At 36.6% G+C, this 11,414-nt stretch overlaps 1 annotated feature.

The window, feature by feature from the left end:
* Positions 2,125–3,324: an enhancer, noted in NCBI's record as "MED14-independent group 3 enhancer chr9:30961648-30962847 (GRCh37/hg19 assembly coordinates)". NCBI's record gives its function as "activates an origin of replication core promoter dependent on BRD2, BRD4, P300/CBP and CDK7 cofactors, and independent of MED14, by STARR-seq in HCT116 cells {active_cell/tissue: HCT116}" and the evidence as "EXISTENCE:reporter gene assay evidence [ECO:0000049][PMID:35650434]".

The following is an 11,414-nucleotide window of genomic DNA, read 5'->3' as shown; positions in this document are numbered from 1 at the left end:
ATAGTACAATGTCACTACCAGGAAAAGCACTAGACAAATTACACCCATCTTATCCTCAATCGGGTTTCACTAGTTTTGCAGATGTGTGTGTGTGTGTGTGTGTGTGTGTTCTATGCAGTTTTATCACATTTATAGATTTGTGTGACCATTATCACAATCAAGACATAGAATAGTTCAACCACAGGGATCCCTCCTTCTCCCATTTTATAGCACTACCATGAACCCTGCCCAGCCACAAAACACCTAATATCTGGCACTACAATTCTGTTCCTTATCCTATATATTTTTTTCATTTCAAGAATGCTATATAAATGGCTTTTTAAAAACCCAGCATAATTTCCTAAAATGCTATTTACATTTTTACATGCATCAATAAATTTCTTATTTTGTTATTGCTGTGTAGTATTCCACAGTATGGATATACCACAGCTTAACAATTCACCCATTGAAATATATTTGAACTGTTTTCAACTTTTGACTGTTGCAAATGAAGTTGCTGCAGACACTCATATACAGGTTATTATGTGAACCTACATTTTATTTATCTGGTATAAATGCCCAATAACAATTGTTGGGTCATATGATAAACTTTTTTTTACTTTCTTAAGAATATACTATACTCTTTTTCAGCATGGCTGTACAATTTTACATTCCCACCAGCAATGTATGAAAGATCCAGTTTTTGTTCATGCTAATCAGAATTTGCTGTTTTATTACTTTTATTTTAGTCATTCTGGTAGGTATATGGTGAAAAATCATTGTGGCCTCAGTTTGCAAATTCTTTATGACTAATATTATTACACATATTTTCCTGTTCTTATGTACCATCTGTATATACCTTTTCACATATCACTAGCACAATCAAAAAAAAGGAAAATATTTTTCCACATCTCTGTACAATTTTTAGAACAATAAAGACTCAAGGGAGAAGGTGTTCATTTAGAACAATGAAAACAAAATTAATTTCAGCTAAAACAGAACTCAATTGCATAAATAAAAATGGTCAGAATATTGAAAATCTTTGATAAAATAATAGGAAGGACTTCATATTTTCTGAAGAAATATTCATCATTTGTCTTTTGTTTGAATGTTGATTACCTCCATGGTTTTGAGAAAACAAATCCCGCATATAACTCTCCTTCTGGTGTTTGCTTTGATATTACCCTTGCTAACAGAAAAGTTGGTGTGTGTTTCTGTATAAAATCAAAGATGGCCTAGCAATAAAATTATATTATACTCTCACTTTACATCATACTATGAGATTTTTAACAATAGCTAAGGCATCATCATTGGTATGGACATAATAACTCTTTTTAGGAGTTGGTTGATGTGAAGTTTAGGAGGGTTAGATTAGCTCATTATCATAAAATAGAGGTGACTCTTCCTATGCTTTAACAAAGAGACTGGTGGCATTTTGCTCCTGCTCTAGAGGTCTGTGAAACTTTGAACTTGAGAGAGATGACTTAGGATATCTGGCAGAAGAAATTTCTAAGCAGCAAAGCATTCAAGAGGAAACAGAGCATAAAACTTTGGAAAATTTGCAGCCTGTAGATGTGATAAAAGAAAAAAAACTCATTTTCTGTGGAGAAATTCAAGCCTGCAGCAGAAATTTGCGTAAATAACAAGAAGCTGAACGTTAATCAATGAGAAAATAGGAAAATTGTCTCTAGGGCATGTCAGAGACCTGCATGGCATCCCCTCCCATCACAGGCCTGGAGGCCTAGGAAGGAAAAATAGTTCTGTGGGCTGGGCCCAGGGCCCCCCTACTCTATGCAGTCTTGGGACATGGTGCCTGAGTCCCAGCTGCTTCAGCTACATCCATGACTAAAAGGGCCCAAGGTACAGCTCAGGCCATTGCTTCAAAGGGTGAAGCCCCAAGTCTTGGCAGCTTACATGAGATGGGTGCACATACGTCAAGAATTGAGGTCTGGGAACCTGTGCCTAGATTTCAGAGGATATATGGAAATGCCTGAATGTCTAGGCAAAAGTTTGCTGCAGGTGTGTGGAGGCTCTCATTGTGACCTTTTGCTCCAGAACGACTGCAGGAATGTAGTAGGAAAGCCAAGAGAATCCACAGACCTTCTGAAGAAAGTCTATTGCTCCTACAGGATAGAACTGGGAGATACCCCAAATACTGTGAGTGCCCAAACTGTGGATGTGGGAATGGGAGCTCATCTACCACTGAACACACTTCCCCACTGGGGAACCTGAAGGTCTAGATTATGGGAGAAGATTGTGACCTTACCTGGAGCTGAGTCAATTTAGAGAGCCAAGCGAAATACAGGGGTAGAGGAAGCAGCAGGAAAATCCCTGTGGCCTCACTGGGTTCCCTAGCACGACATTTCTGCCTTGCCTCACTGGCTTCTAGAGGAGGGCTCCCAGAGTCAATGGGAAAAAGCCGCAAGGAGATGGAAACCCCCAGCTGAACTTTGTAACAATTTGAACCAATTGAGAAGTCTCTCGGGGAGAGCGTGAGTCTGGTGCGCAGACGCCACAAATGGAGAAAGAAAGAAAGCCCTAATTTCGCAGCTGGGAGGCAGGTAGCCTGGGCAAGTTCTCAGCCCCGCTCACCCACTGCCCGCACAAGAACTGTTCAAGTATCGTCTGAGCTCAGACATGCCTAGGCCTGCCCCCACCTAATGGTCCTTCCCTATCCACCCTGGTAACTGAAGAAAAAGGGCATATACTCTTGAGAGTTCTAGGGCCTCACCCACCACCTGTTTCCCCCCGTGCTATCACAGCTGATGCTCTCTTGAAGCACCACTTCCTAGCAGGAGGCGAACCAGCACAAAAATAGTACATAAAACAACCAAAACTAAGGACTCTCAGACTCCCCCTGCCACCTCCACTGGAGCAGGCGCAAGTATCCATGGCTGAGAGACACACAGAGGGTTCACATCACAGGACTCTGTGCAGACAACTCCCAGTACCAGCCTAGAGCCTGATAGTTTTGCTGGGTGGCTAGATCCAGAAGAGAGATAACAATCACTACAGCTCGGCTCTCAGGAAGCCACATCCCTAGGAAAAGGGGGAGAGTACCACATCAAGGAAACACCCCATGGGACAAAAGGAATTGAACCACAGCCTTGAGCTCTAGACCTTCCCTCTGACAGAGCCTACCCAAATAAGAAGGAACCAGAAATCCAACTCTGCTAATATGACAAAAGAAGTTTCATTAACACCCTCCAAAAAAATCACACTAGCTTACCAGCAATGGATCCAAATCAAGAAGTCCTGGATCTACCTGAAAAAGAATTCAGAAGGTTAGTTATTAAGCTAATCAGGGAGGCACCAGAGAAAGGTGAAGCCCAATGTAAGGAAATTAAAAAAAAAAAAAGATACAAAAAGTGAAGGGAGAAATATTCAGCTAAATAGATAGCATAAATAAAAAACAATCAAACTTCAGGAAACAATGGACGCACTTACAGAAATGCAAAATTCTCTGGAAAGTCTCAGCAATAGAATTGAATAAGCAGAAGAAAGAACTTCAGAGCTCAGAGACAAGGTTTCTAATTAACCCAATCCAACAAAGACAAAGAAAAAAAGAATAAGAAAATATAAACAAATCTTCCTAGAAGTCTGGGATTATGTTAAACAACCAAACCTACGAATAATTGGCATTCCTCAGGAAGAAGAGAAATCTAAAAGTTTGTAAAATATATTTGGGGAAATAATCAAGGACAAATTTCCCAGCCTTGCTAAAGAAGCAGACATCCAAATGTAAGAAACTCAAAGAACATCTAGGAAATTCATCACAAAAAGATCATTGCCTAGGCACATTGTCATCAGGTTATCTAAAGTTAAGATGAAGGAAAGAAACTTACAGGCTGTGAGGCCAAACACTAGGTAACCTATAAAGGAAAACCTATCAGATTAACAGCAGCTTCCTCAGCAGACACCCTAGAAGATAGAAGGGATTGGGGCCCTATCTTCAGCCTCCCAAAACAAAACAATTATCAGCCAAGAATTTTGGATGCAGTGAAAATAAGCTGCATAGCTGCGTAAGTGAAGGAAAGATATAGTCTTTTTTAGACAAACAAAAAATGAGATAATTCACCACTACAAAACCAGTAATACAAGAACCGCTCCAAGGAGCTCTAAATCTTGAAACAAATCCTGGAAACACATCAAAGCAGAACCTCTTTAAAGCACAAATATCACAGGACATACAAAACAAAAATACAATTAAAAAAACAAAAATTAAAGGAATACAAGCCGCAAATAGCATGATGAATGGAATGTTACTTCACACCTCAATACTAATGTTGAATGTAAATGGCCTAAATGCTCCATTTAAAAGATACAGAATTGCAGAATGGATAAGAATTCACCAACCAACTATCTGCTGCCTTCCAGAGAAACACCTAACACATAAGAACTCATGTTGACTTAAGGTAAAGGGATGGAAAAAGATACTCCATGCAAATGGACACTGAAAACAGGCAGGAGTAGCTATTCTTATATCAGACAAAACAAACTCTAAAGCAACAGTAGTTAAAAAAGACAAAGAGAGTCATTATATGATGATAAAAGGCCTTGTCCAAAAAGAAGGTATCATAATCCTACATATATATGCACCTAACACTGGAGCTCCCAAATTTATAAAACAATTACCAATAGAACTAAGAAATTAGATACACAGCAACACAATAATAGTGGGGGACTTCAATACTCCACTGATAGCAATAGACAGGTCATCAAGACAGAAAGTCAACAAATAAAAAATAGATTTAAACCATACCCTGGAACAAACAGACTTAACAGATTTTACAGAACATTCTACCCAACAACTGCAGAATATACATTCTTTTCAACAGCACATGGAACTTTCTCCAAAATAGACCATATGATAGGCCACAAAACGAGCCTCAATAAATTCAAGACAATTGAAATTATATCAAGCACTCTCTTAGACCACAGTGGACTAAAACTGGAAATTAACTCAAAAAAAAAAAAAAACCTTCAAAACCATGAAAATATATGGAAATCAAATGATCTGCTCCTGAACAATCATTGGGTCAAAAATGAACTCAAGAGGAAAATTAAATAATTATTCAAACTGAATGACAACAGTGACACTACCTATCAAAACCTCTGGGATACAGCAAAGGCAGGTGCTAAGAGGAAAGTTTATAACCCTAAAATCTACATCAGAGAGTCTGAAGGAGCACAAACAGACAATCTAAGATCACATCTCAAGGAACTAGAGAAATGAGAACCAACCAAACCCAAACCCAGCAGAAGAAAGGAAATAACCAAGATCAAAGCAGAACTAAATGAAATTGAAAAAACAAATGAACAAAAAACCAACACAAAAGATAAATGAAACAAAAAGCTGGTTCTTTGAAAAGATAAATAAAATTGATGGATCACTAGGAAGACTAATCAAGGAAAGAAGAGAGAAAATCCAAATAAGATCAGTTAGAAATGATATGGGAAATATTACAGCTGACACCACAGAAATACAAAAGATCATTCAAGGCTACTATGAACACCTTTACACATGTAAATTAGAACACCTAGAGGAGATGGATAAATTCCTGGAAAGATACAACCTTCCTAGCTTAAATCAGGAAGAATTAGATACTTTGAACAGACCAATAATGATCAGCAAGATTGAAATGCTAATAAAAAATATTAACAAAGAAAACCTCCAGGACCAGATGGATTCACTGTAGAATTCTACAAGATATTCAAATAATTGGTACCAATCCTATTGACACTATTCCACAAGTTAGAGAAAGAGGGAACCCTCCCTAAATCATTCTATGAAGCCAGTTTCACCCTAATACCAAAACCAGGAAAGGACATAATCAAAAAAGAAAACTACAGACCAATATCCCTGATGAACATAGATGCTAAAATCCTTTACAAAATACTAGCTAACCAAATCCAAGAACATATCAAAAACAAAATCCACAATGATCAAGTTGTTTTCATACCAGGGATTCAGGGATGGTTTAACATACACAAGTTAATAAATGTGATATACTACATAAAAAGAATCTTAAACAAAAATTACATGATCACCTCAATAGATGCAGAAAAAACATTAGCAAAATCCAGCATCCCTTTATGATTAAAACTCAGCAGTATCACTATACAACAGACATACCTCAATGTAATAAAAGCCATCTATGGCAAACCCACAGCCAACATAATACTGAATGGGGGAAAGTTGAAAGCATTCCCTCTGAGAACTTGAGCAAGACAGGGATGCCCACTATCACCACTCCTCTTCTATATAGTACTTGAAGTCCTAGCCAGAGCTTTCAGACAAGATAAAGAAGTAAAGTGCATCCAAATTGGTAAAGTGACTGTCTGTTGATGATATGATTGTTTACCTAGAAAACCCTAAAGACACATCCAGAAAGCTCCTAGAACTCATAAAATAATTCAGGAAAGTTTCCGGATACAAAATTAATGTACACAAATCAGTAGCTCTTCTATATACCAACAGCGACCAAGCTGAGAATCAAATCAAGAATTCAACCCCCTTTACAATAGCTGCAAAAAAAAAAAAAAAAAAATACTTAGGAATATACCTAACCAAGGAAGTGAAAGACCTCTACAAGGAAAACTACAAAACACTGCTGAAAGAAATCATAGATGACACAAACAAATGGAAACACATCCCATGCTCACTGATAGGTAGAATAAATATTCTGAAAATGATCATACTGCCAAAAGCAATCTACAAATTCAATGCAATTCTTGTCAAAATACCACCATCATTCTTCACGGAATTAGAAAAAACAATTCTAAAATTCAAAAAGAACAAATCTAGAGGCATCATATTACCTGATTTAAAACTATACTATACGGTCATAGTCACCAAAACAGCATGATACTGGCATAAAAGTAGGCACATAGACAAATGGAATAGAATAGAGAACCCAGAAATAAACCCAAATACTTAACAGTCAACTGATGTTCAACAAAGCAAACAAAACATAAAGTGGGGAAAGGACACCCTTTTCAACAAATGGTGCTGAGATAATTGGCTAGCCACATGTAGGAGAATGAAACTGGATCCTCATCTCTCACCTTATACAAAAATCAGCTCAAGATGGATCAAGGACTCAAACCTAAGACCTGAAATATAAATATAATATAAATATATATAATTATATTATAATATATTGTATATGATTATATTGTATGTATATGAATATATTATAACATAATTATATTATTATATATAATATTGTATAATTATATAAATGAATAATAAACAAATAAATAAATAAAAAGATGAGATTTGGGTAGGGACACAAAGCCTAACCATATCATAGACATTATTATAAAATAGAGATGGCTAATTTTTAGGTGCCTATTTTCTTTTTTAATTTAATTTTATTATTATTATACTTTAAGTTTTAGGGTACATGTGCACAATGTGCAGGTTAGTTACATATGTATACATGTGCCATGCTGGTGTGCTGCACCCATTAACTCGTCATTTAGCATTAGGTATATCTCCTAAAGCTATCCCTCCCCCATCCCCCCACACCACAACTGTCCCCAGAGTGTGATGTTCCCCTTCCTGTGTCCATGTGTTCTCATTGTTCAATTCCCACCTATGACTGAGAATATGCAGTGTTTGGTTTTTTGTCCTTGCGATAGTTTACTGAGAATGTTGATTTCCAGTTTCATCCATGTCCCTACAAAGGACATGAACTCATCATTTTTTATGGCTGCATAGGATTCCATGGTGTATATGTGCCACATTTTCTTAATCCAGTCTATCATTGTTGGACATTTGGGTTGGTTCCAAGTCTTTGCTATTGTGAATAGTGCCGCAATAAACATACGTGTGCATGTGTCTTTATAGCAGCATGATTTATAGTCCTTTGGGTATATACCCAGTAATGGGATGGCTGGGTCAAATGGTATTTCTAGTTCTAGATCCCTGAGGAATCGCCACACTGACTTCCACAATGGTTGAACTAGTTTACAGTCCCACCAACGGTGTAAAAGTGTTCCTATTTCTCCACATCCTCTCCAGCACCTGTTGTTTCCTGACTTTAATGATCACCATTCTAACTGGTGTGAGATGGTATCTGATTGTGGTTTTGATTTGCATTTCTCTGATAGCCAGTGATGGTGAGCATTTTTTCATGTGTTTTTTGGCTGCATAAATGTCTTCTTTTGAGAAGTGTCTGTTGATGTCCTTCGCCCACGTTTTGATGGGGTTGTTTGTTTTTTTCTTGTAAATTTGTTGGAGTTCATTGTAGATTCTGGATATTAGCCCTTTGTCAGATGAGTAGGTTGTGAAAATTTTCTCCCATTCTGTAGGTTGCCTGTTCACTCTGATGGTAGTTTCTTTTTCTGTGCAGAAGCTCTTTAGTTTAATTAGATCCCATTTGTCAATTTTGGCTTTTGTTGCCATTGCTTTTGGTGTTTTAGACATGAAGTCCTTGCCCATGCCTAAGTCCTGAATGGTAATGCCTAGGTTTTCTTCTAGGGTTTTTATGGTTTTAGGTCTAACGTTTAAGTCTTTAATCCATCTTGAATTAACTTTTGTATAAGGTGTAAGGAAGGGATCCACTTTCAGCTTTCTACATATGGCTAGCCAGTTTTCCTAGCGCCATTTATTAAATAGGGAATCCTTTCCCCATTGCTTGTTTTTATCAGGTTTGTCAAAGATTCGATAGTTGTAGATATGCGGTGTTATTTCTGAGGGCTCTGTTCTGTTCCATTGGTCTATATCTCTGTTTTGGTACCAGTACCATGCTGTTTTGGTTACTGTAGCCTTGTAGTATAGTTTGAAGTCAGGTAGCATGATGCCTCAAGTCAATCCTAGTTGCCTATTTTCATCTGCTTAGGATGCCACATAACACCACAGACTGTACAGTTTAAACAACAGAAATTTATTTCCTCACAGTTCTGGAGGCTAGAAGTCCAAGATCAAGGTTCCAGCTGAATTTGTTTCTAGTGAGGTCTCTCTTTCCGGGTTGCAGATGGCCACCCTCTCAGTGTATGCTCACAAGGACTGTATATGTGCAGAGAGAGAGAGAGAGAGAGAGAGAGAGAAATCTGGTGTCTCCTCCTTTTCTGATAGGGATGCCAGTACTAAAAGATTAGGACCTTACCCTATGACCTCATTTAACCTTCATTACCTCTTAAAAGCTCTATTGCAAAATACAGTCACATTGGGAGATAGGGCTTCAGCTTATGAATTTTGGGGGAACCTAACTCGGTCCATAACAGGAATTAATATAATGAGTGCCCAGACTGTTAGTGAATATGTTGATGTTATAATTGTTTTTGCCTCACAATTTTAGATAATGAATATTTGGATAAAAATGTTCACTATATTACAATTTTTAACACTTTAAATATTACGTTCTACTCCCTTCTTACTTGCTTGGCTTCTAAAAAGAAGTTTGATTCAATTCTTATATCTGTTACTCTATATAACAATGTATTTCTTCTTCTGCCTTATTTTAATATTTTATCTTTGTGTTAGGTTTTCTACAGTTTTAATATGATATTCCTAGGTATATTTTTTTCATATTCATCCTGCGTAGCATTCTCTGAGTTTTTTGGACCTGTAATTTGGTATTTGTCCTTAAGGTTCGAAAGATCTCAGTCACTATGATTCAATTTCTTCTTATATTCCATCTGTTTTCTTAGAAAAATTTTATATAAAAATATCACTTAACACACATTGTCCCCATAATAGAACACATAAGTTTTATAAATAAATATAATTCTATTTACTTCTAGTAATAGGAAATAATTTTAGAAATTAATTTATATGCATCTGTAATTAGATATTGTGAATGAGTTGTATGTATTTCAAAGCCTAGCTTTACCCTGCACAGTGTTTGATAGATAGATAAAGCTCTCAGGTACCAGAAAAATCTATCAAAGTCCCAAAAATTTTTACTATCTAGTTAAATATTTTGTTTCACAGGGCCACTCATTAAATACCAAAGTGGTGGTTTGAAGTAGCAAGGTCAAGTAGTGCTTAGAGAAGGCCAAATATTTGAAAGTTCTTCCATGCACTCCCATCCAGAGTAGTAAATATTTATTGTTGTTATCTAATTTGTCTTTTAACTTTTTAGTTTCCATTCCCATCTTTCTATTCTATTTAGAGTAGACAAGTGCCTGTGCTTCAAAGTAATCAAATGTCTTTTTAAGAACTTCTGCTTGTATTAGCACTGGGAAACTAGTTACCAACATTATAAACAAATCATATGAATGGTCAATCATTATATCATAAGAAACTTCCAGCTTTGAAATGCCACGGTCATTTTTGGCATAAGATGTCTCTTCATCAAGCTTTGTACTGGCTGCATGATTTTGGAGGTTGCTCTGCTTTACCTAATGTACAAAACTAAAAGTATGCTTTTCATTCTCAGGCAAAATATAAAATCCACTGAAAAAAGAGAATAAAACTGCCAAACTCTCCTGATAGGAAATCCCACTTGGTGAACCTTTAAAAGCCTTATATAAATCTGGTTATATTGCCTTTGATGTAGTTCTCTTCCAGGGGATTCAACAACTTCCTCAGTCTGTTAAGTAGTGTACTAACCCTCTCAGATATACTGCACCCCACTCAAGTTTCACTAAAGTTTGGTACAATTGTGACATACTTATAGCTCTTTATTCCAGCTGATATTCAGATCTCCTTTCTGAGCGTTAACTTCATCAAGTTCTGGCCCCCAACCTATTGCCTTAATATGTGTTTCATACTGACTTGCAGGAAATACAACATTTAAACAATTTTGTCTTCCTGTACTTTTTTTTCATGCCAGAAAGCATTACTACTATGCAAAAAAGTAAAAAAAAAATAATTAGTTTAAATAAAAATTTGATATTGTCATGTGGGTGGTGTGCATTCATGTTTACATACATGCTCTGAACAGAATACTTCGGCTGAGCAGAGGGATGAGGATTTTATTTTTGTTGGTGTGCTAAGTTAGAATCACCCTTCTCACAATTAAATTATTTAAATCAGAAAGTCTGTTAAAGCAAATTTGTACAACCAGAAAATGTTTTCCCTGCATATGTACATATATATAAATACACATGCATATGTATGTATTCACATATATATACACACACACATACACGCACATATATATATATGTGTATATATATACATATGAATTCGTTAATTTATGTAGAAGAGCTCGGAACTACTCCTGCTATATCCTTTCAAATGATGAACCTCGGTCCATTTAACCACAGTTGAGCTGGCCAGAATTGCCAAGTCATTTAATATTTGGAGGCATTTAATTCTTAGCCAGTTAAGGTTAAAACATATTTATAAAAATAATAAAAACTTTTGCTATGGCCATAGACAGGTGAGCACTGTGTGTAATGCTGATTGATGTCCATTGAGGGAAATGGCAGTGGGATTTTCTAAGAGAAAGCTCAGCATGTTATAAGAAATGGTGAAG

Source organism: Homo sapiens, chromosome 9, assembly GCF_000001405.40.
Source record: "Homo sapiens chromosome 9, GRCh38.p14 Primary Assembly".
NCBI lineage: Eukaryota > Metazoa > Chordata > Mammalia > Primates > Hominidae > Homo > Homo sapiens.
The sequence above is the reverse complement of the archived record's forward strand: the minus strand, read 5'-3'. Positions and strand labels throughout refer to the sequence as shown.